The 25,027-nt window shown below is 50.3% G+C and overlaps 2 long non-coding RNA genes across 2 annotated transcripts, besides 3 other annotated features; one reads left to right on the forward strand and one right to left on the reverse strand.

Moving 5' to 3' along the window:
• Positions 67–361: a silencer, noted in NCBI's record as "tiled region #13821; K562 Repressive non-DNase unmatched - State 1:Tss". NCBI's record gives its function as "represses a minimal TATA promoter and a strong SV40 promoter by Sharpr-MPRA in K562 cells {active_cell/tissue: K562}" and the evidence as "EXISTENCE:reporter gene assay evidence [ECO:0000049][PMID:27701403]".
• Positions 1,104–4,292, forward strand: LOC124903892 (uncharacterized). Its single transcript, XR_007065573.1, has 2 exons — positions 1,104–1,192; positions 3,617–4,292. It is a non-coding gene; the product is annotated as an uncharacterized LOC124903892 (long non-coding RNA).
• Positions 3,607–3,901: a silencer, noted in NCBI's record as "tiled region #3310; HepG2 Repressive DNase matched - State 9:DNaseU". NCBI's record gives its function as "represses a minimal TATA promoter and a strong SV40 promoter by Sharpr-MPRA in HepG2 cells {active_cell/tissue: HepG2}" and the evidence as "EXISTENCE:reporter gene assay evidence [ECO:0000049][PMID:27701403]".
• Positions 10,382–16,635, reverse strand: LOC105378623 (uncharacterized). Its single transcript, XR_947141.3, has 3 exons — positions 16,572–16,635; positions 10,755–10,807; positions 10,382–10,508 (listed from the first exon to the last, which is right to left on the reverse strand). It is a non-coding gene; the product is annotated as an uncharacterized LOC105378623 (long non-coding RNA).
• Positions 21,507–21,801: a silencer, noted in NCBI's record as "tiled region #2178; HepG2 Repressive DNase matched - State 4:PromP, and K562 Repressive DNase unmatched - State 4:PromP". NCBI's record gives its function as "represses a minimal TATA promoter and a strong SV40 promoter by Sharpr-MPRA in HepG2 and K562 cells {active_cell/tissue: HepG2 | K562}" and the evidence as "EXISTENCE:reporter gene assay evidence [ECO:0000049][PMID:27701403]".

Genomic DNA, 25,027 nt, shown 5'->3' on the forward strand with positions numbered 1-25,027 from the left:
GCGCCCATCCCCCAACCCACCGAGGTGGGTGGGGACCAGCCAGTGGCGCCCTGCTAGCCTGCGTCAGCGCCAGTGCCTGGCCCCCGAGTCCCTACCCCAGGCTGGTAGGACCTTCTCCCTTTCCTGGCCTCTAGGCACTCTGGAATCTGAGAAGGAAGCAGCCAACACCAGCCCGAGAGCTAGGGCGCATGCCATGGTGGATATCTTCCCGTCCCCCAGTCCCTCTTTGAGCTTAGCGTCAGAGCAGAGATGAGACTAGAAAAGCAAAACGCCCTTGGGCTGGTGCCCACGCCGGGGAAAGCTCTGGTTGACTTCTGGCACGGGCATCTGTCCTCGTTTTACAAGTGAGGAGTCCGAGGCTCACAGGGGAACTGACAAGGTCTCAAGAAATAGGAGGGGGTGAATGGAGCTCAGATTGCAAGCTTAGTCTAGCGGGCTTCAGAGCTCGCGCTCTCCCTTCACTCTCACTGCCTGGTGGCGGAGACAGTCACCAGCGGCTCGGTCTGCGGCTGAGCTGACCTTGTCCTCTGCCTGTTTTGAGCAAAAGCCTGACCCTTCGCGCCCCGCCCGCCTCACACGTGCTTGCCCCTCCCTGCGGAATGTCTCCTGCTGGCCCTCCTCCGTCCCCACCCCACCCCACCATCTAGCTCCCCACCCGCCCCTGCAAGTGCTCTGGGCTTTTCCGGTTTCTTCGCACAGCTCCGAGCTTTAGCTCAGGTCGTTCCCAGCTCCCCTCCTGCAGAAATTCTGCCAATTCGGTCAGCTCTTCAAGGCCCATGGCTGCCTTCCCCACCTGCCGCCCTTTCTTTGGCCTGTGCACACTAGCAAGCCGCCTGCACTTTTGGGTAATTTGCTGCCTCCTTTCGAGAGCCTGTTGTGCGGTGGTTTGTCACTGTATAGTTTACTAAGCACTTTCAGTAAAAATAAGACCTGCCTTGTCTTGCTATTTATTGCATGCTGAGGGCTTTGGGTGTATTGTTTCATTGAACTTTTTATTTTATTATTATTTTTTAGAGACAAAGTCTCTCGCTGTGTCTCCCAGGCTGGAGTACTGTGACGCCATCATAGCTCACTGCAGCCTCAAACTCCGGGGCTCAGGGGATCCTCCTACCTTAGCCTCCCCAGCAGCTGGGACTATAGGCACACGCCACCACACCTGGCCTCATTGGACTTTTAAAGCAAAATCCATGAAGTAGGTGTTACTGTATTATTTTCTCTTTTTAAAAAGGTGAACAAGTTGAAGCTCTGAGGAGCTCACTCATTAATTCAGCAGTTAATAAAGCACCTACTTTGTGCCAGGCCCTGCTTTGGAGAGAGACAACAGGGAACAAGACACACATTCACCTCTGGGCAGCCAGACATAAAACTAGCGTGGTGCCTCTAAAGGGAGTCCTGTCCTGTCCTGACCTGAGGGCCCAATGTAGACTTCTCAAAGGAAGTGAGGTATAAATGAATTTCTGAGGGATGGCAGGAGGCCCTGCACACCAAGGAGTAGTGCCGAACTGAATTTCAGCCAGCAGCAGCCTGTCCAGGGTGGGCCTGCAGGAGCCAACACAGGAGCCCAGAGGCCTGCCACGTGCGTAGAGTATGGCAGGCCCTCCTTCCTGGGACTCTGTTTCTCCATGTGCAAACCCTGCCTCCCTTCCCTGGACTGTTCTGAGAACAAGGCCAGGGAGGAAGAGCCCTCTCCCCACCCTAAGATCTTGATTCCTTTGGACGGTCCAGTTGCCAGAAGACTCAGAGGCTCATTTCTGCCAAAGCTATAGGGACAGGCTTCAGGGCTGGGCATGGAGCCTTGGTGATCTCACTGTTGGAACAGGTGCCAGGAGAGGAGGAGGGGGAAAAGATGATTTCTGACTCAAGGTCGCAGCCCTCACACATAGGGCCTCCTCTCAAGGACTGTGTGGCCAGGAACTAGAACTGACTCCTTATGTGGCCCTTGTAATGCAATGATGGAGAGCTGGGGCTGGGCTAATGGCTGCTGGCAGATCTGCGTTCTGATCTGAATTTTGTTGGGTACTAGCTGTGTGGCCTTGGGCAATTCACTTAAGCCATTCTGAGTCTCCATTTTTTTTTTTTTTTTTTTGAGAAGGAGTCTCGTTGCCCAGGCTGAAGTGCAGTGGTGTGATCTTGGCTCACTGCAACCTCCACCTCCTGGGTTCAAGCAATTCTCCTGCCTCAGCCTCCCAAGTAGCTGGGATTACAGGCAACTGCCACCACATCTGGATAATTTTTGTATTTTTAGTAGAGACGGGGTTTCGCCATGTTGGCCAGGCTGGTCTTAAACTCCTGACCTCAGGTGATCTGCCCACCTGGACCTCCTAAAGTTCTGGGATTACAGGCATGAGCCACCACGCCAGCTTCAGTTTCATCTTTAAAATGAAGGGATTTTTTTTTGGAGATGGAGTCTTGCACTCTGTCACCCAGGCTGGAGTGCAATGGTGTTATCTCAGCTCACTGCAACCTCTGCCTCCCAGGTTCAAGTGATTCTCCTGCCTCAGCCTCCCAGGTTCAAGTGATTCTCCTGCCTCAGCCTCCCAAGTAGCTGGGACTATAGGCGCGGGCCACCGCGCCAGGCTAATTTTTATATTTTTAGTAGAGACGGGGTTTCACCATATTGGCCAGGCTGGCCTTGAACTCCTGACCTCAAGTGATCCGCCTGCCTTGGCCTCCCAAAGTGCTGGGATTACAGGCATGAGCCACCACGCCTGGCCTATTTATTTATTTGGAGAGAGTCTCACTCTGTCACTCAGGCTGGAGTGCAGTGGCATGATCTCAGCTCATGGCATTCTTGACCTCCCAGACTCAAGGGATCCTCCCACCTCAGCCTCCTGAGTAGTTAGGACTACAGGCGCATGGCACCACGCCTGGCTAATTTTTTGTGCATTTTTTTGGTAGAGACAGGGTTTTGCCGTGTTGCCCAGGCTGGTGTTGGACTCCTGGCCTCAAGCAATCTGCTTGCCTCGGCTTCCAAAGTGCTGAGACTACAGGTGTGAGCCACGACACCTGGCCCGAGATAATACATTTAAATGCTAAGCATGGTTGACTTACGAAAGTTCACTGCTGCTGCTCCTCCTGCTGCTATTGTTATTGTCTCCAGGGATAGTGCAGACACCTAAGACCTAGTCTGAGCTCTGCCACTACCTACTGAGTTAGTTACCTGAGGCAGATTGCTTTGCTTCTTTAATCCTCAGTTTTATTATTTCTGGGACAGGATTAGAAAGGGCTTCAACTGAAAAAGGGGCTATAGAGGTTTTTCAGAATGGGTTGGGGTGGGGTCACTGCCAGAAAATCCATTTGCTCCCTCTCTTGGGCCTGTCCAAATTGAGCAGCACGGGGCTTTGAGGAGCTCTACTCGACAAACCTCAGACCAACTACCCTCACTGCCCTTCCCTCACCTCGCCATGGTGCTCAGACCTGGGTCACCGAGGTTAACCCATAAGCCACACCCCATCTCCTTTCCTCCTGGTTTACACCCTTCTCCCTTCTAAGTATGTACAGTTCTCTCCTCATCCCTCTGATCTACCTGCATCCTCTTCCTCTGTTATGCTGACTACATTTGGGGAAGAATGTGAGCCCTGTCCCTTTTTGTACTCCTCTGTCTTGCCCTTGGCAGATCCAGATGTGGATATAACATCTGGCAGGCAGCAAGACCAGCGCCTGCCAAGAACAGCATCTCCCCAGCCCTCATCCTATGGTGAGGTCACTGTTCTATGTTTCCACGGCAACCACAGGCTGGGAAGATGGAGAAGAGGAGAGATGAGTAACCAGAAGCCAGCCAATGAGATGAGCTGCAGCACCGGATGATCCATGGGGCCATGGGGAGCGGGGACAAGGGAGGCCTGCTCAGCATGTTCAGCTGTTTCCTGGACCCTCCCTGCCATCTGGATGCCTCCACTAGAGAATGTGCTACTAGCACCAGGAAAGAGCTAGAGGCTGAAGAAGCTGAGTAGAAGCTCTGCTGACCCAAGAACATGGCCCTCCTTTTTTGCCTCTTCAGGGTCTAAGTCTATGGTTGCTGACTACCCCCGCCCCATCCCACCCCTAATATCTGCAACTGGGAACTTTTCCCATTTGCTGGGAATGATGGTGGGGCTCTTTCTGCCTCTGCCTGCCATAGAACCAGCAAGTCTTAGACATCCCTTCTTTTTATGCCCTTGGTCCATGGGGTCTTTGTTACCAGAAAGGGGTCCCAATCCAGACCCCAAGAGAGAGTTCTTGCATCTCACACAAGAAAGAATTCGGGGCAAATCCGCAGAATAAAGTAAAAGCAAGTTTATTAGAGAAGTAAAGAAATGTCTGTTTAGTAAATTATTAACCTGTTCCCTTAACTCTTAACTGTAAACATTTTGTGACTAAGAATGTTTCACCTTGTGGGAATGCATCCCAGCCAGGTCTCAGCTTCATTTTATCCAGCCTCTATTCAAGATGGAGTCACTCTGGTTAGAATGCCTCTGACATCTTCAGATGCAGTGTCTTTGGAAAGAGCCCTGATTCTAAACTCCAGGCCTGCATTTACTAGCTAGAGACCTAGAACAAGCTCCCTTTCCCCCTTCTGAGTCTTGTTTTCTCCCAAATAGAGGAAGGCCATCAACTTCTCAGGGTTGTTAGGACAATTAAAAGAGATAACAAATGGAAAGCCTACCGTGCACTAATATTGAAGGAATAGTAACTCCTTTCTCCTTTCCTCCTTCCAGTTCTTTTCCCCGGGATATTTGAGTAAGCCAAGGCCCTTTGAGACCCTGAATAAGTAGGAAAGGATTCAAGTATATGGCCAACTCCTCTTCATTGAGGTCACAGAGTGGCCTTCAGATCTTGGACATAAGTTTCCTCATATTTCCCTTTCTCTCTCTTTAAATATTCATTCATTCTACCAATCTTAATTGAGCACCTCCTATGGCCAGGCACTGTGCTAGGCTCAGTGAGGATCCAGGGTGAACAGGAGAGCTCCCTGCTCTCACTTAGCTCACAGTGCAGGGGGATTGCAGCTACAGTGGGTGGAGTGTTCTTTCTGCCACTAGGAAATCTGCTTCCTTGTTCCCCAAGAGTTCCAGATACTGTGGGCTGGAGAGAACAAATGATGGCAGAAGGTAGAGGTTTACTCAACACCAATTTGCTTCTAAGAAACTGCTGCCTGTGGCAGAATGCTCCCTGAAATGAGAACAATGACCCTCCCTGCCCTGGGGGACAGGGGGTACCTCAGTGGGGAGGGGCAATCTGCCTTCTCAGAAGCCATCCTCTCCCTGTTGCTGACAGAAGAAAGCCCAGACTGTATAGCCTGGTCTCATCTATTTCCTTGGTCTAATTTGTTGCTGAAATCCTTTTTAAGAAGAGTTTCTGGCGGAGAATAAGGTATAGTATATTGACAAGATCGGGTGCATTCAGGGTGGTATGGTTGTAGACAGGTACAGTATATTGAATGAATGAACAAATGAGTGAGTGAAGGAGAGAATCTATCTACCTCCCTAGTTTTAGGGGCTCTGGAGTGAGACTTGGGTTCCAGTCTTGCCATATGTATACAACAGCTGTGTGACCTCGGGCAAGTCATGATCTCACTGGGTCTCAGTTTCTAAATCTGCAAAGAGCATTATCACTATTCTCACCTAGCCAGCCTCCCAAGGACTCTGAGAAGCTAGGGGAGGACAAATTGAGGAATGCAGCACAAAGGATGTTTCTCCAACTCCTGGCCTCAAGCGATCCTCCTGCCTCAGCCTCTCCAGTAGCTGGGACAGGCGTACCTGGTTTATGTTTTTTCTCTTCCAGCCTCCTTCCTTGGCTGCCTGTGGTCCTTAGCACAAGACCCACTTTCTTTGACATGACCCCATAGCCACAGCCTAAGCATCACAGCCCACACACTCTAGCCCCTACCTGCCTCTCCCAGCTTTCCACACACACTGCAGCCATTCTGACCTTTTTGTACCTTGAGGGGACACCATGTTTCTCTCTTTATGTTTGCCAGCAGTGCTCTTCCTCACCCCTACAGTCTTTTCTTTTTTAAAAAATCTTTATATATATATATTTTTTTAGACAGTCCAGCTCTGTCACCTAGGCTGGAGTGCAATGGTGCAATCTCGGCTCATTGCAACCTGTGCCTCCCAGGTTCAAGCGATGTTCATGCCTCAGTCCCCTGGGTAGCTGGGATTACAGGCATCTGCCACCACACCTGGCTAATTTTTGTATTTTTAGTAGAGATGGGGTTTCACCATGTTAACCAGGCTGGTCTCCAACTCCTGACCTCAAGTGATCCACCTGCCTCAGCCTCCCAAAGTGCTAGGATTACAGGCATGAACCACCACACCCGGCCAACTCCTACTCATTTTTCAGCTTTCAGCATAACTATCCTGCTTCTGGGTAACACCATCTTCCCTGGCCTTCCCTATCCTGCTTTGATGTTTGTTTCAGAGTCTGTCTTTGCCATTACACCGGAGGCCCTTAGAGGGCTGGGACCCAGTCTGTGTTGCTTCTTGCTGTGCACAGGACCTGGCATGTATTTGTGGAGTGGACAGTCTCTCCAGAGAAAAAGAAAGCCACTTGTTCTTGCAGTGTTCTCTCTGTTTTGAAATTCTGACACCATCACCATCTCCTCCACTACTCTCAACTTTCCTCCTGCCAAAGTATCCTGTTTTGTGTCCTCTTTCTCACTCCATCCCTGAGGGCCAGTAGCCTGGGCCACTTCCTGTGTGTGGTGGGGCCCCAAGTACTCCCAGGTGAGAATTGCCCTTTGGAAAGCATGAGGGTAGCCTGGATCTCAACAGCAGCTTTTTTGGGGGGATGGGGCTATTCCCAGAAAGTGATTAAACCAGGCCCCAGACCTGGGGCTGACCCTGGCTCCCTCCTCAAACTTCAGTTTCCTTTTCTCTCAAATGAAAAAAAGGTTGCCTCTGCAAAACTCTAAATAGCCTCTAATATTGGATTAGGTAAAGTATAATTAGAAAGGTAAACCTTAGGCTTATAAAATGGCACCTCACATCACCATGAGGTCTCAAGCATGTTCATGTGCCATGTGGCCTGGCCTCCATCCCCTCTTCTGGCACCAAACACATGGTCCAGTAGTCATGCCTCATAATGCATTCTATTCAGGAACAGCTTACCCAAGATTGTGGAAGGATTCAAGCAGCTCCCGGAGACCTGACGAGCCTGGTTGGTGTGGACAGATGCCCACTGTTGTCCCTGGGTGAGGAGAGCTGGCAAGCCATGGCAGGGTGGCTGGCAGGGAGTGTGTCTTGGCCTCAGGAGTCTGAGGCCAGATGTGTTCCAGGAAGCAAGTACAAAGCCAACACTGTCAGCCTGGCTTGGGCTGAGATCTTGGGAGTTATCCGGGATGGGTTGATGGGGCAGCAACCCAGGACTCTATAGTAAACAAAGACACTGGATAGGAAAAGGAAGGAGCCCATTTGCAGGAAGGACTGGGTGGGCTGGGGGTGACCAGGACTGGAGCCCAGGGTGAAAGATTTCTCCTTGTAAAGGTTGGCGGTGGGAGGACCATGAGGTTAGAGGGATAGGATCAGAGTCAGGAAAAGATAAAGTCAGATGAAGAAGGCTGTCCTTAGAATGGGATCACCCTGTGCAGGAGTAAAAACAGTCCAGGTCATGCCTGTAATCCTAGCACTTTGGGAGGCCAAGGAGGGGCAGATCACTTGAGGTCAGGAGTTCAAGACCAGTCTGGCCAACATGGTGAAACCCTGACTCTACTAAAAATAAAAAAACATTAGCCAGGCATGGTGGCGGGCACCTGTAATCCCAGCTACTCGGGAGGCTGAGGCAAGAGAATTGCTTGAACCCAAGAGGCAGAGGTTGCGGTGAGCCAAGATCACGCCACCACACTCCAGCCTGGGCAACAGAGTGAGATTCTGTCTCAAAACAAACAAACAAACAAACAAACAAACAAACAAAAAACCAGCCCAGGCAGCACTAGGAGTCATAGTAGGCTGGTATATGTCTGGCTACCGATTCTTCTCCCACCACTGGTGAGCCAGTTTATGACCTGTCAGAGGAAATGGGGAGGAGGCATAAAGACCACCAAGGAAAGTTGGGAGACACAATACCTGCATGAACTTGGACAAGTCAGTCTCTCTGTGCCTGTTTCCTCCTCTGTGTGATGAGGATAGTAATGTCTAACCTTTCGAGAGAATAAATGAGATTGTGGGTATAGAGAAGCTTTGTGTGCTATGAGCCAGGTGCAGAAAATTGTGGCTAACATTGGTGCAGCACTCCCTGAGCACTGCACCGGACTTAGCAGCTTTTTGTCTTTCAAACTCATGTCACCCTGACGATAACCTAGTGAGGCAGGTACTATTCTCATCCCTGATTTACAGATGACAGCCAGGATTTGCACTCAGATAGAGTGGTTCTAGAGCTTGCGTGGCTTAACCATTATTCTACACTGGCTCTCCCTGTGACAGTGTTCACCCTGCCTTCTCTGTGACCTTGGGCCAGTCTCTTTTCTTCAGTGTTCCCAACTCTATGGTAGGAGGTTGGGCCAGATGATTTATTTAATCCCTCAAGCTTTGGCAGTCAGTGGTTCAGGAAAGGAACTTCCAAGTAGGGGAGAGGGCGAGGTGGGGCCAGAGCAGAGACAGGACAAACTTTTCCAGTTTGTCATCAGTGAGTAGGCTGGTAGACTCCCCTTTGCCCTATAAGTGGGGCCAAGGGAGCAGGTGATGCTCAGCCCCAGCCTGAAATATTCACTGGTCCCTGAGGATCACTGAGGTCTGACCACCAGGTCCGCCTGCCAATAGTCAGGCAAGGCCCATCTGCTTCTGCTAACAGACTCCAGAGGATTCTTCTTCAGTATTCAGTCTCTACCTGCCCATTCTGGGCCCCTGTCCCCTCACCCAGGGTCAGTTTATCTGGGCACCAGGCCTGGTGTGGGGCCTGGGGATGGGGCTATTTATAGATGTCTTCTGTCTCCTTGGCCTGGGCCTCTAGCCAGATTAGGCCATTCACACACATGCGTGTGCACACACACATTTTCTCTGTCAATCACTCATTGAACTTGACTGTCACTAGTCTGATGCCTGGCCTCATGCTGAGTATGGATAACCAACAGATGACCTAGACTTGGTCCCTGCCCTCATAGAGGGATGGGAGAGGTGGACTTGTCTACAGACTATGACAATACAGAAAGGCTATTACTATCACATAGGGCTGTCTCTATACCATGGAATACCATGGAGGGAGGGAGCCCCCCACTCTGCCAGAAAAGTCAGGAAAGGCTTCATACGGAGGCACTCTTTGGGCTGGGTCTTGAAGGATAGGCACATAGGAGTCCACTAGATGTGGGGAGGGGAATTGGGAAAGCAGAGGAGAAGGATTCATTGAGAGAGGATGAGATTTTCCTGATGATTGCCCTGGGGTGACAGCAGAAGATAAAAATGGCAAGTGATGAGAATGGAAAGATAATGTAGGGCACACAGGAGAAGACCTTGCTCATCATCCAGGAGTCTGGCCTTCCTTCTGAAAGCAGTTGAGAGTAATGGAGGATTTCGGGCAGGGGACCTTCATGATCTGATTTGTATTATGGGAAGAGTTCCCTGTCTGCTGTGTGGAGGCTGCATGGAAGATATCAGTTAGGTGGCTGTGGCAGCTGTCCAGACTGCACAGTCTGGCAGGGCTCAGCCATGCACCCACTGCAACTAGAGAGAGGGGGAAAGGGAAGAGGACACACTCCTCCTAATTAAAGGCATGGCCTGGCCACTGCACACATCTCTTCTCTCTTGGCTACATCTACATGCAAGGGAGACTAGGAAATATAGTGATTATTCTGGACGGCTTTTTACTCTAGAAAAGGGAGAGAGTAGATATCAGGGTACTGGAGGTCTCTGATACAGTGGTTAAAAGTCTCTGAGCCGGGCATGGTGGCTCACACCTGTAATCCCAGCAATTTGGGAGGCCGAGGCAGGTGGATTACTTGAGGTTAGGAGTTCGAGACCAGCCTGGCCAACATGGTGAAACCCCATCTCTACTAAAAATACAAAAATTAGCTGGGCATGGTGGTGCATGCCTGTAATCCCAGCTAGTCAGGAGGCTAAGGCAGGAGAATCACTTGAACCCAGGAGGCAGAGGCTACACAGTGAGCCAAGATCGTGCCACTGCACTCCAGCCTGGGTGACAGATCGAGACTCTGTCTCAAAAAAAAAAAAAAAAGTCTCTGAAATCAGATTTCTGAGTTTAAGTCCTGCCTTAACCACTTACCATCTGTTCAGGCAGATTACTCACCCTCTCTTGTGCCTCAATTACCTCCTCTGAGGGTACAGTGAGCTAACACACACCAAGTGCTTAGATAGATCCTGGCACTTATGAGGCCCAGAGCTATTTTCTGTTTCTAAGAGAAGTGGGGGCTCTGGGAACAGGTATTGCCTGACTCCCCAGGAATCGCTGAGGCACCCACAGTGGGGCAGATGTCTGGCTAGGGCAGCCAGGACTATGAGCTGTGCCCTTTAGCTCCATTCTCTCAATCCCCATGGCTTAGCTGAGGCAGACGATGCTGGGAGCAGGGTATGGGGGTCCTGGGAAAAGAAAGGAAGGTGGATTTTAGAGATAATTCAAGGATAGATAGCCTAAGAAATGAAGTCTCTGGATCTAGGGGCTTCAGATGCAGCCCAGCCTGGAGCCCCTTTCCCTCACAGGACAACAGATCTCCCAGGGCCATGGTGGGGCAGGGAAGGGGAGGTGGGGTGGCTAGTCAAGGTCACCTTGACTAGTGACTCCAGACTTGGCTGCTGTGTGACCTCAGGCCTCCAACCACCACTGACCTTCTCTGGGCCTTGATCTTTCCATCTGGAGGCTGGGATCACTTCTTGCCTTCCTGCAAGGTGAATGTGAAGATTAGATGTCAGTCATAGAATCAGGTTGCTCCCTGCAGGGCTGAGTGCCTTGGAGGGATGTGTCAGTAGCAGATGACAGTGCACCCCCTTCCCCAGAAGGAGAAGCACTGCAGCTCAGTCCAGCTAAGCCATGACTGCCTGTCCTGCCTTCTTCCTCATTTGAGCTATGCTCTTTTCCCTAGGCTACTGGTTGTAAAATAGGGTGGGATAAGAGAGTAATGTGGGAGGGAAAGGATGGGTGGAAGGAAACAAGAGGGAGGAGGATAGCAACATCAGGTGAAAGGCAGAATGGTAAGATTGAGGGCTCACGGCTGAGGAAAATGAAAACTTAGAATGAAGGGGGAGGTGTCTAGAATTAGCTTTGTGGGAACCCACTCTCCCCATATTCAGGCGCAGATGGGGAGCTTGCTGAGGGTAGTGCTGTGCCTTATTCATCTCTCTGTCCTCTTCTCAGGGCAGGACATAGTATAAGCCTCCACCGAAAACAGTTCTGCTGTCAGAGTTTGTTGACTGAACCCCAGACTTGGCCCCCCACTGAGCCTTCATGAAGCCTCCCCACCCAGGCCCTGCTTACAGGAGGATCTGAAAGGCAGCCTTGAGAAGGAAGGGCAGCTGGGAGACAGGAGTGTGGGTCCTGCTAGGGCTCCCTCAGTGCCTTGCTGTGCTACCTGGGACAAACCACTTATCCTCTAAAGCTCTTTCCCCATCTGAGTAATGTGAGACCATGGCTGTGGTTTGAGAGCTATTTTTACTCCATTAAATCCTATCTTCAAACAAATTCTTAGGCCAGGTGTGGTGGCTCTTGCCTGTATTTCCAACACTTTGGAAGGCTGAGGTGGGAGGATCGCTTGAGCCCAGGAGTTTGAGACCTGCCTGGGCAACAAAGTGAGACCCTCATCTCTACAAAAAAAAAAAAAAAAAAAAAAAAAAAAAAAAAAAAAAGTAATTAGCTGGGCGTGGTGGCACATGCCTGTAGTCGCAGCTACTTGGGAGGCTAAGCGGGAGGATCACTTGAGCCCAGGTCGAGGTTGCAGTTAGTCATGATCACGCCACTGCACTCCAGCCTGGGCAGCAGAGTGAGACTCTGTCTCAAAAAACCACAAATTCTTAGTTGGAAGTCCAGGAGATAAAAGGGATCTTCACCGGTGGAAGCCAGGAAGGGTGTTGGAACCCACTTATATGGTCCTGGGGGTCTGCGGAGGCCAGTTTAAAGAATGGAAGCTGTGCTCTCTGGGCCTCAAGCAGGCCTGGCTATCCCACCCCTGCCTACTATCCCATCCCCACTACCTCCACATGTCCTTTCTGCAGCCTGGGTGGGAATGGGGGTCCAGTCAACTTGCAAAGAGCAAGCAGTGCCCCTCTTGAGGCTGTCTTTCAATCTCTGGGAAATAGCACCACTCACCCCAGCCCCACCCCACACAGACACAGTGGTCTTGCCCTGGGTCACTTGGGCTGGGGGAGGGGCCCAGAGAGAGCCCTCAGATTCCAGAGACTCTGGATGCTTAGCAGGGATTGGGGTCTTTAGTAGGGGGTTGGGAAGAGAAGAAATGTGTTTCGGGGAAACCAGGAGATTGGAGCCAGGAGGTTCCTGGCTAAGTGATCTAGAGTAGCCACTGCATCTCTCTGGATCTCAGTTTCTCCATCAGTACAATGAGGGATGAATGCCCTTTCATTTGTGACTGGCAGAATGATAGGAGTGGGGATGGGGGCAGAGATTGTGTTGTGGGTGCTGAGTTTCCCGAGAGAGCATCTTGCTTATAGTTCAGAGCCAGTGATGGTGGCTGCAGCAGCCGAGCCTTGGAGGGAGGGTTGGTAGGAAGACTTGGTTGAACCTGGGCCCTGCCACTAAGTTAGTGGGTGTTGTCCCCTCCTGGGGCCACACTTTCTCCATCTGTCTAATGGGACTAGATGCTCCTAGACCCAGGAGTCAGTGACTGCACCTGGCATCAGAGACTGGGGCAGAGGCCTGCAGCTGGCCCAGGTGAGGGTCACGGTCTCATTGTGCAGAGCCAGGAGTGGTTGTCAAAGGTAGTGTAGAAAACCAAGAGTCAGGTGGGAGTGCTGAAGGAACCTCCAACTTTTTTGGTTTATAGATGGGGAAACAGGCTGGATGTGGGGAGACCAGTTGTCGAGGGTCCCAGAATGGGTTGCGGACAGAGACAGGATGAAAACTGGGACTACTGACCATCTATTCCAGCTTCTCCTCACAGGAAGCTCTGATAGAAGGTACAGGGAGTAGCCTTGTCTGGGGAGTGGGGAGATGGCCCCTCCACATCCCTTCGAGGTGCGGAAACAGATAACACAATGGGAGCTCAGCCGGCTTGTGTTCCCTTTCCTTTTTTCTCTCTGCTTGTCCTGCACTCTGCTCAGGACTTGTTAATCTCAGAAGTCTCCAGTTAACCATCCCATCTTTTCCACAAGGACAGGATAGGGGTGCAGTCGGACAGGAGCAGCAGAAAAGGGGGTTGGGATTTTGCAGTGACAAAGAGGTCCAGGTGTAGGCGCATGAGATTGGGCTAGGATGTGCAGGGAGGAACTGAGCACAGAGCTTTCCCCTGTGTCTGGGGTTGGGGTGAGGTAAGGTTTCTCTAATAATTTCTGGAACCCCTTCAGAGACCATGGTTTTCTGGTTCTCAAGTCCAGAAGAGACATCCCAGATATGCACATACCCAGGCACATCCACACAGACAACTTCACCATCCACACTCCCAGACACATCCACACAGATGACATCACCCACACCCCCAGGCCCATCCACACAGATGACCTCACCATCCACAACCCAAGACATATCCACACAGATGACCTCACCCACACCCCTAGGCACAACCACACAGACGACCTCACCCACACCCCCAGACACATCCACACAGATGACCACACCATCGACACCCCCAGACACATCTACACAGATGACCACACCATCGACACCCCCAGACACATCCACACAGAGGACCTCACCATCCACACCCAGACACATCCACACAGACGACCTCACCATCCACACCCCCAGACACATCCACACAGAGGACCTCACCATCCACACCCAGACACATCCCCACGGACGACCTCACCCACACCCCCAGACACTTCCACACAGATGACATCACCCACACCCCCAGGCCCATCCACACAGATGACCTCACCATCCACACCCCCAGACACATCCACACAGACGACCTCACCCACACCCCCAGGCACAACCACACAGACGACCTCACCCACACCCCCAGACACATCCACACAGATGACCACACCATCGACACCCCCAGACACATCCACACAGATGACCACACCATCGACACCCCCAGACACATCCACACAGATGACCACACCATCGATACCCCCAGACACATCCACACAGATGACCTCACCATCCACACTCAGACATATCCCCACAGAGGACCTCACCATCCACACGCAGACACATCCCCACAGACCTCACTATCCACACCCAGACACATCCACACAGACGACCTCACCATCCACACCCAGACACATCCCCACAGAGGACCTCACCATCCACACCCAGACACATCCCCACAGAGGACCTCACCATCCACACCCAGACACGTCCCCACAGAGGACCTCACCATCCACACCCAGACACATCCACACAGACGACCTCACCATCCACACCCAGACACATCCCCACGGATGACCTCACCATCCACACCCAGACACATCCCCACGGATGACCTCACCATCCACACCCCCAGACACATCCACACAGATGACCTCACCCACACCCCGAGACACATCCACACGGACGACCTCACCCACATCCCCAGACACGTCCACACAGACGACCTCATCCACACCCCCAGACACATCCATGCAGATGATCTCACCCACACATCCAGACACATCCACATGGACGACCTCACCCACATATCCTCACCACATACGTGGCATCAGAGACTAGGGCAGAGGCCTGCAGCTGGCCCATGGTGGACCATACACACACAGCCCCTACACAGAAGGCTACAAAATTGGCAGGATCCAGTGCAAAGTGAAAATGTGAGCCCCTGTTCAACAATTATTAAGAATTTCAAGATAAGGCCCACACCTATAATCCCAGCACTTTGGGAGGCCAAGGTAGGTGGATCACTTGAGGTCAGGAGTTCAAGACCAGCCTGGCCAACATGGAGAAACCCTGTCTCTACTAAAATTATACAGATTAGCCGGGCATAGCGGTGCACGTGTAATCGTAGCTACTCAGGAGGCTGAGGCAGGAGAATCGCTTGAACCCGGGAGGCGGAGCTTGCAGTGAACCGAGATCACGCCACTGCACTCCAGCCTGGGCTACAGAGCAAGATTCCCTCTCAAAAAAAAAAAAAAGAAAAAAAAAGAATTTCAAGATGATGACAGCAGATCATTAAACCAAGAGCAGGGCCCTTCTGAGGGCTCTGTTTGACCGCACAGGTTGGTTTCACACCAATGATGCTAGCTAGCTCTGCTCCTAACACATTCCAGCCATTCCCTTGGAGACTCACAGTCCCACAGACACCATCCTGCTAGAGAGACACACTCATCCAGGGACAAACATTCACACCCCTAGACCCATCACCACTGAGGGCACACCCACCTCTCCACCCCAGACACATACAGTCACATCAGCCCCAGTATCACAGAGCCTCACCTACAGCCAGAGTTCCTCCCAGCTGGGTGGGTCCAGGCATCCCACCAGGGCACAGGGCCATTACACTCACCCCTCTCTCGGGCTGCCAGGGTCTCCTCCACCCTCTTGCTCCACACAGTCCCTCCCCCAAATGCACACTAGCCTACCTGCTGGGCTGGCCATGGAGGATAGAGGAGAGGGCAATGCCAGCTCTTCCACCCACTCCGCAGCCAGCCTGCAGGGACCCAGCTGGGGATAAGATGCCAATAATAATACCTGGCTGGGCGCGGTGGCTCACGCCTGTAATCCCAACACTTTGGGAGGCCGAGGTGGGCGGATCACCTGAGGTCGGGAATTTGAGACCAGCCTGATCAACATGGTGAAACCCCGTCTCTACTGAAAACACAAAAATTAGCTGGGAGTGGTGGTGCATGCCTGTAATCCCAGCTACTCAGGAGGCTGAGGCAGGAGAATCGCTTGAACTCGGGAGGCAGGGAGGTTGCAGTGAGCCGAAATCGAGCCATTGCACTCCAGCTTGGGCAATAAGAGCGAAACTCCGTCTCAAAAACAAAAACAAAAACAAAAACAAAAAAACAAAAAACCTAACACTTGTTGAACATTTACCTGTGCCAGGCACTGTTCCAACACTTTATAAATACTAACTCATTTAATCCCACAACCCTATGAAGTAGATAATTTTTTTTGTTTTTTGTTTTTTGTTTTTGAGGCAGAGTTTTGCTCTTGTTGCCCAGGCTGGAGTGCAGTGGCGCGATCTTGGCTCACTGCAACCTCTGCCTCTCAGGTTCAAGCGATTCTCCTGCCTCAGCCTCCAGAATAGCTGGAATTACAGGCACCCGCCACCACACCCAGGTAATTTTTTGTATTTTTAGTAGAGACAGGGTTTCACTATGTTGGCCAGGCTGGTCTCGAACTCCTGACCTCAGGCGATCCACCCTCCTCGGCTTCCCAAAGTGCTGGGATTACAGGCGTGAACCATCGCGCCCGGCCCTGAAGTAGGTAATATTTTTTTATCCCCATTTTATAGGTAAGGAAGCTGAGACACAGAAAAGTTAAGTCACTTGAGCAAGATCACAGCTAGTAGGAGAGGAAGCCGGAATTTTAACCTGCTGTAGACAGCATGGTCTGTCAGTTGTTGATGTGACTGTACTGGGCATGCCAGGCACTGTGAACCCAGTGGTTCCAGGGTCTGCCCCTGAGGAGCTCAGGTCCTCTGTGAAATGATGAAAAAAGGTGATTATGATGCAGCGTCTTTTTGACTGGGGTCCGTGGTCAGTCCCAGGAGTCCCCAGGATGGTCACTTGGCTGGTGGAACAGATGATTTTCTTTCACTACAGTCACAATATTTGGAAGATGTCTGCATGAGAGATAGTCCTTTTTACCTTTTTACAGACAAAATTGTCAAATATGTAATAAAGGCATTTTCACTGATAGCATACACTGTCAGATAATGGACAGTCCACACGGCAGCTGGTTACCCAGCCTAGATAGAGGGCTTTCTCAATGGTGAGAATGCAAGGAAACCTGCTCTGCCGGTGTGTGTTCTGGGCACGCAGCGGGCCTCATTTATGACTTAGTTCAACATTACAAACCTTCGGGAGCCCCACCCTCCTTCTCTGAGAGTTGCCGCTCCCTACTAGGTATGGCCCCTGAGGCCATGTTTGTATGCTTTGACTCCTGCCCCTCCAGCTTCCCGGAGGGGATACCCCAAAATGAAGGCCTCAGAAGCAACTGAGACTGACTGATCCAGGAATGCCTATCTGATCCAAGTAGGCCAATCAGGTCCTTTGTCTGGGGCTTGGGAATCTGCATTCCACTGGCTGGGACTGGCCCCTGAACTGAGAACAGGTAATCTTGGGAACTGTAAAGCAGCCACCTTCACATTCACTGCGGTTTACACAGAAGAAAAGAAGCAGAAAGCTCTCTACAGGAGTAGAGAAGAATGAGGCAGTGAAGAGGGGGAAAGTGCTGAGCTCCAGAAGCCATCCAGCTCCACAAGGGGCCACAATTGCTCCCCCAATCCTTATGATAACGCCTGATTTTTCTTTCCGTTAGCCTGAGACAGTTTCTGTTCCTTGTAGTCAAAGGGCCTTATTTAAGGCACTTGAATTAGAAAACATCAAAGAGAAGAGAGTGCCGCAAATCTCCTAAATGTGTTGGTTTTATGGTCATTTTTGAATATGACAGACTCCAAAGCCGTGGAGCTTACATGTGTCCTGGAGTATCCCCAGTGGAAGCTTGAGGTTGTTTGTCTCTGTGTACATCCCCTAGTGGAGTGGAGATGGCTTTCCTGATAAGAAATGTGCTTTGAAAGGACTTTATTAAGCTTGGAATTGCCCAGTGGTTTGCTGGACAATAAATATTTGAAAACTAGTTTCTCAAAAATCCAAATGTATAGGTTATATATGGACATATATTTATTATAAATTTTACTGATATAAAGGCTGTGTAGGCCAGGCACAGTGGCTCGTGCCTGTAATCCTAGCCCTTTGGGAGGCCAATGCGGGCAGATGGCTTGAGGTCAGGAGTTCGAGACCAGCTGGCCAACATGATAAAACCCAGTCTCTACTAAAAAAACAAAAATTAGCTGGGCATTATGGCACACACCTGTAATCCCAGCTACTCAGGAGGCTGAGGCAGGAGAATCTCTTGAACCCGGGAGATGGAGATTGCAATGAGCTGAGATCGTGCCACTGCATTCCAGCCTGGGTGACAGAGTGAGACCCTGTCTCAAAAAAATAAATAAAGGCTGTGTAGCACACAGCTTAACTTACAAATGACACAATATGCAAACTCCTTTTTTTTTTTTTTTTTGAGACAGGGTCTCACCCTGTCACCCAGGCTGGTATGCAGTAGGGCGATCATGGCTCACTGCAGCCTTGAACTCCTGGGCTCAAGTGATCCTCCTGCCTCAGCCTCTTGAGTGCTGGGACTATAGGCTCGTACCATGACACCCAGATCATTTAAACAGTTTTTTTGTTTGTTTGTTTTGTTTTGTTTTGTTTTTTAGACAAGGTCTTGCTATGTTGCCCAGGCTGTCCTCAAACTCCTAACCCCAAGCAAACCTCTCACATGGGTCTCCAAAGCACTAGCATTATGGATGGGAGGCACCATGCTGGTCCATATACAAACACTTGATAGTAAATTCCATACAGCCAATTGATTCTGGCAGAATGGTTTCATTAATTTTTGCCAAACTCATATCTGTAGCCATCCTATGGTTGCAATTCAACCAAAATTTGAAATTGAATTGCATAGATACCAATCTGCTAATTATTTTCCTAATAAATTTATTGTCATTAAATGTGCTACAGGATCTACTGTTAAAATATTTTTCTTTTTTTTTTTGAGACGGAGTCTCGCTCTGTCACCCAGGCGGCAATGGCTTGATCTCGGCTCACTGCAACCTCCACCTCCCGGGTTCAAGTGATTCTCATGCCTCAGCCTCCCGAGTAGCTGGGATTATAGGCGTGCATCACCACCCCCAGCTAATTTTTTTTGTATTTTTAGTAGAGACAGGGTTTCACCATCTTGGCTAGGCTGCTCTCGAACTCCTGACCTCAAGTGATCTACCCGCCTTGTCCTCCCAAAATGCTGGGATTACAGGCGTGAGCCACTGCACCCAACCTACTGTTATAATATTTTTCACCCTTCTACAGATATATTCATTAAACAGAAACTTCTTTCAGCTTTAGCACCAGACTTGACAAACTATTAAGTTTAATTTGCACTTTTAACATTTTGTCTATCACTTTCTTTAGTCTTGAAAGTCAACAAAACAACAAATCAGTTCCTTATTTGTACCTATCAGGACTCAGACAACAATACCCCAAAATGAAGGCCTCAGAAGCAAAAGTTTTTCTTTGACCTTCTCCTGTCCTCTTGTCTTTCTGTTCCATTCTCCCCTGAGGCTAGCCATAGAAACTAGAATCTCTCTTCCCCAAGGCTAGCATCCCTTTTCCCCAAGACATTTCACGGAAAACAAACCCCTTTTCCCCCGAAGCCAGCCGTAAAACCTAAAAGCATTACTCTGGATTTTCCTCCACCTTTCTGTGTGAAAAGAAGTTATCTTACCTACCTTGACTCTAGGTCATAAGATCCTCATTCTAGAGTGGGTCCTGCCCCATATTCAGAAGGAAGGAATGAATGCTCAGAGAGGCCAGGAAGAATCCAGGCAGAAGTCCTTGCTGGGCTTCCTCACTCAGTCTATTAGCATTTGATCATAGCCTTTTCATCCAGTCATATTTCTACATGGCTGTCCATACTTTGTTGAACCTAAGCATAAAAACGAATAGTTTTCTGTTTTTCTTCAGGTCTTCATGCTGAAGGCTCCCATGTACATGTTAATAATAACTTTTGTATGCTTTGTCTCCAATTTTCTGCCTTTTGTGAGTTGATTTTTCCATGAACCTTCAGAGGGCAAAAGGGAAAATTTTCCCTGGCCCCCATATGCTGTTTACCAATTTCTGTGGTGTAAATACCCCCACTCGGCTGATTCAAGCTGCTGCCACGATGTTATGGAGCCAAGAGTTAGGAAGAGATGTGCAGAAGCACATCATTATGTCATAATTCCACTACACAGATAACAACAGATGTAGGGCTGGGTGCGGGGGCTCACGCCTGTAATCCCAGCACTTTAGGAGGCCGAGGTGGGTGGATCACTTGAGGTCAGGAGTTCGACACCAGCCTGGCCAACATGGTGAAACCCTGTCTCTACTAAAATTACAAAAATTAGCCCAGCATGGTGGTGTGCGCCTGTAATCCCAGCTACTCGGGAGGCTGAGGTAGGGGAATTGCTTGAACCTGGGAGGCAGAGGTTGTAGTGAGCTGAGATGGTGCCAGTCAGCTCCATGTAGTGAGCTGAGATGGTGCCACTCAGGCAATAGCAAGACTCTGTCTCAAAAATAAATAAATAAATAAAAATGAAAAAAAAATAAATGTAGGTAAACTCAAGAGAATAGATAATAGTGAAATATAGTAAAATAATTAGGAAGTGATGATTTTTAATATCTTTGTTTTAATATAATTTATTTAATTGTAAATGTATACAATTTAATTTTAAAATTTTTATTATGATGATATATATTTTTTGGGGACAGGGTCTCACTCTGTCATCCAGGCTGGAGTGCAGTGGCATGATCACAGCTCACTGCAGCCTTGACCTCCTGGGCTCAAGCAATCCTCCCACCTCAGCCTCCTGAGTAGCTGAGAATATAGGCATGCGCCACCGCACCCCGTTAATGTTTAAAATTTTTTGTAGAGACAGGGTCTCACTATGTTGCCCAGCCTGATATTATGATTTTTTAAGAGATGGAAGTCTCACTATTTTGCCCAGGCTGATCTGGAACTCCTGGCCTCAAGTGATCCTCCTCTCACCTCAGCCTCCCAAAGTGCTGGGATTACTGGTGTGAGCTGCTGTGCCCAGTATACAATTTAATTTTTAGCAATGACTGTTAAACAGCCCTCTTGCAAAATGCCTGAAACTTTAGCAATTTGCTCTTGCTAGCTGGTGTGAGCGGCTCTTATACACTGATGGACTTGTCCCCAGCCAAAGGCATCCCACAGGGCATTGTCAACAAAAGAGGCCCCATGATATAATATTTATAATTATAAATATTAATACTTTTTGACCCAGTCAAAATCATCTCCCAGACCTCAAGAAACTCTTCTTGGGGTCACTTGCACCTCCTCTTAATTCTCCTAAACACATTGTTGCCATTTAGACTACTGAATGTCAGAGCCAGAAGGGTCCTGAGGCCATTTGGTGCCTTCAACTTGTGAAGATGGGGAAACTGAGGCCCAGGGTAGGGCAGGGACTTGCTTAAGCTCATTAACATTGAAAACCAAGTCTTATGGCTCCCAGGTCAGGACTCATCCTATTAACTCCTTTCTTAGGGATAGGGAAGCTGGCCCAGAGAGAGGAAGGTGAGTGCAAATTCACACAGCAAACAAGCGTCAGAGCCAGAGCCTGGGGATTCTCCTCGCCCGCCCAGATCTCCTCGGAACCTTCACCTTCCTCTTGGGCCCTGGAAATGAGGCATGTGCGCGCCTCCTCCGTGCACCCAGGGCCAGGCGTTGAAGACGGAAGGGGCGATTCCTGCGGGTGTTCTTCTCGGAGCTGAGGTTGGCACGCACCAGTTTGTCCACCGGGGGGCACTACGGAGCCGAGCTAGGAGAGCGCGCGGGCTCCCGGAGCCTCCCAGCCCTGATTGATCCGCACTTGAGCCCGGCGGGAAAACAGGTGTCCCGAGAGGAGAGGAACTAGCCAGACGTCACCCTGAGAACTAGAGACAGAGCTGGCACTTGACGCGGACCTCCTGACACCAGTCAGGTGCACTCTCCCGGCGTCTAAGCGCGTCCCTCCCCCTCTTCCGGGGGCCGGGCTGCTACTTCTTTTCCTGTCAACTGGGGTCAGCGAAGGCCCTCCTGGGCCAGGCTGTGCAGAACCACAGCTCTGTCTGGCATGGCATTGCACCTCCACTGGACAGTGGCCGGTGCTGAGCGACACATGCCTCATTCCCTCTCTGTCCAGGGCCGCTCCCCACCCCGCCTTCTTCTTCTTCTTCTTCTTTTTTTTTTTGGAAACGGAGTCTTGCTCTGTCACCCAGGCTGGAGTGCAGTGGCGCGACCTCGGCTCACTGCAATCTCTGCCTCCTGGGTCCAAGCCATTCTCCTGCCTCAGCCTCCCAAGAGTACCTGGGATTACAGGCGCCCGCCACCACACCCAGCTAATTTTTGTATTTTTAGTAGAGACGGGGTTTCACCATGTTGGCCAGGCTGGTCTTGAACTCCTGACCTTGGGTGATCCGCCCATCTCGGCCTCCCAAAGTGCTGGGATTACAGGCGTGAGCCACCGCGCCCGCCCCGCCTTCTGTCATCCCGTATCAGCGCAAGTCTTTGCCGTTTACCAAACATTGTCACACCCTCTGATTACCTTCTTTTTCTGAGTAGAGAGGAAGGGTGGCGGGGGCTGGGGTTAGACCTGAGCTTCAGTCTTGGACCAGCTACTCAAACTCACCTCGTTACACAATCACTTTGTGCCTTGGTTTCCTTATTTTAAAGCAGAGATCATAGTTCTTATCTCACAGGGTTGTTGAGAGGATTAAAAGAGGTAACACAGCAAGTCCTTGGGAACTTTTCTTTTTGAGACAGGGTCTTGCTTTGTATCCCAGGCTGAAGTGCAATACCGCGATCGTGGCTCACTGCAGCCTCCACTTCCTGGCCTCAAGCAATCCTCCTGCCTCAGCCTCCATGTAGCTGGGACCACATGCGGCTCCACCATGGCTAATTTTTTATTGTTTTGTAGAGGCAGGGTTTTACTTTGTTGCCCAGGCTGGTCTCCAACTCCTGGGCTCAAGCGATCCTCCCATCTCTTCCTCCCGAAGTGCTGGGATTACAGGTGTAAGCCACCTCACCTGGCCCTTGGGAACTTTTTATCATGATTGAAACCTGCACAAGCATCGTAGGAGAGATGGAACTGCCTTCACCTTACACTGGCAGAACTGAGGCTCTGAGAGGCTCTCAGTGAGGAGTCATAAGGGAACTTTTTATTTGAGCGCCAGGTGTGATTGACTTAGGGGTATAAGAAGTAGAACTTTCTTTCTCTTCAATCCGGAGCTGTGTCTAAGCTGGGATGGGAGATAAATGTACGTGCAGCTAAGGCTTGGTAGGTCCATGTGTGTGTGTTCCCAGGCATGTTTTCTACATGGATCACCTTGCAACACCCATTGTCCTTTTTGCTCTGAGTGGCCCTTCTGGGGCTGACATCTCTCTCTCTCTGCTTCTTCTGGGCATTACTAGAAAGGCAAGAATTGTTCTGCGGAGTTGGGTTCACAGTGCGGCTCGGGGTCATTTGGTCACTGGGCTCTGGCCACCATCTGCAGAGCCAGAGGTGTCTCTGCAGTTACCATTCACTCCATCTTTCCTCCCCTGCCAGCCTCGGAAGCCTGTTGTCTGCCTAACCAACAATCTGCTTGAATTGGGAGAGAGAGAATAGCAAAAGGGAAAATACCCAGAGAGAAACAAATGAATCAATGATTTAGATACCTATTTCTGGAGTGCCTTTTATGTAGCACTGTTTTAGGCCCTGGGGTAACAGCTCTGTGCAGGCTGACACAGTCTCTTCTCCCAAAGTGACCTCCAGGGGGCAGACAGTGATTGTCATAATGCTTAATATGCATGGAGCCCTACTATGTGCAGGGCCCTGTGTCAACTCATTTACTACTTCCGACAGTGTAATGATATAAATGCTTCTGTTATCTTCATTGTATAGGCGAGGAAACAGAGGCACAGGGAGGCTCTGTATCTTGCCCAAGCTAGTAGCTAATGGAGGTAGGATTCCAATTCAGACAGTCTGAAAATTAAGCAAGGCCATGGGGTGCAGAAGGGTTGACTTCCTCAGGGAGGAAGTGGTCTTCTAGCTGAGACCTGCCTAATGAGAAGCAGCTGTGCCTAGATCTGGGGGATGAGTGTTGCAAGCAGTAAGATTACTACAGCAAGTGCAAAGGCTGAGACAAGAATGAACTTGATGTGGTCAAGAGCTGGAAAGGAAGCCTCTATGACTAGGAGGGCAGGAATGAAGAGGAGAGAATGGAAGGAGGTGAGGGGAAGGGTGGATGGACCCAGGTTGGCAATATAAAACCCTTTAAGGGGTTTGCAGCCATTGGGCTTCTTCCCTTGCTCGGGCAAGGCCAAGCCCTATGCCCATAAACCCCAAAAGGTCATTATCTTTCTGTCTCCATGGGTGGCTAGGGCATCCATTGAGGGGCTGCCCCTAATCTCCCACTGGTCCCACTGGTCCTGGGAGCCTGATGACCATCCACTTTCTGGAATGTTGGGGAGGATGCCAAGGGAGGGCCTAGGGCCCAGAGAAACCCTTTAAACTAAATGCGGGGTGGGCAGGAGGTGTTGACCCGTGAGTCAGAGGCCAGGTAGTGCAAAGGCACTTTAATTGGGGTCATTAAGATCACCAAGCTTTGATGCCCCAACCCTGAGTCAAGCCGTCCCGTTGACCCCCCTCAACTTCCTGGCCTCACTGCTTGCTACCCCCAGTGACAGGAGAAGTCCCTTTGAGGGCACTAATTAGAACTTCCTCTTCTAGATTCCAGGGCTTTCTCCCTGACTGGGGTCAGGGAAACAGCTCCTTCCAGAGATCAGCCATGGCCCCACCCCTCCCACTTCCTCCAGATTCAGGAGTTTCCACTGAGGCTGGTACAACCACAATCCCAGGGCCTCCCAGCCCTGCCCACAGTGAATTCTTGCCCATGGGGGTCATTCCCTCTACTTGGAATGCCTTTTTGACTTTTGTTTACATTGATAATTCCATCTACCTTACTCTTCAAGGAATAACAGACTCCTTCCTTTAATTCATGCCATCATTCTTTCTTTGTTTTCATCCATTCATTCATTTCATTCATAAAATTTAGGCATTCATTTGGTTCCTGCCAGGCACTGGGGATACAAGAGGGGGTGGGACTGACCCTGAGGTCAAGGGGTGTCTCATCATCTGTGGGAAGCACAAGGTAAACCAGCAGGACCTGCTACATATTTGGCAGGTCCCAGT

Source organism: Homo sapiens, chromosome 1 (assembly GCF_000001405.40).
Source record: "Homo sapiens chromosome 1, GRCh38.p14 Primary Assembly".
NCBI classification, from domain to species: Eukaryota; Metazoa; Chordata; class Mammalia; order Primates; family Hominidae; genus Homo; species Homo sapiens.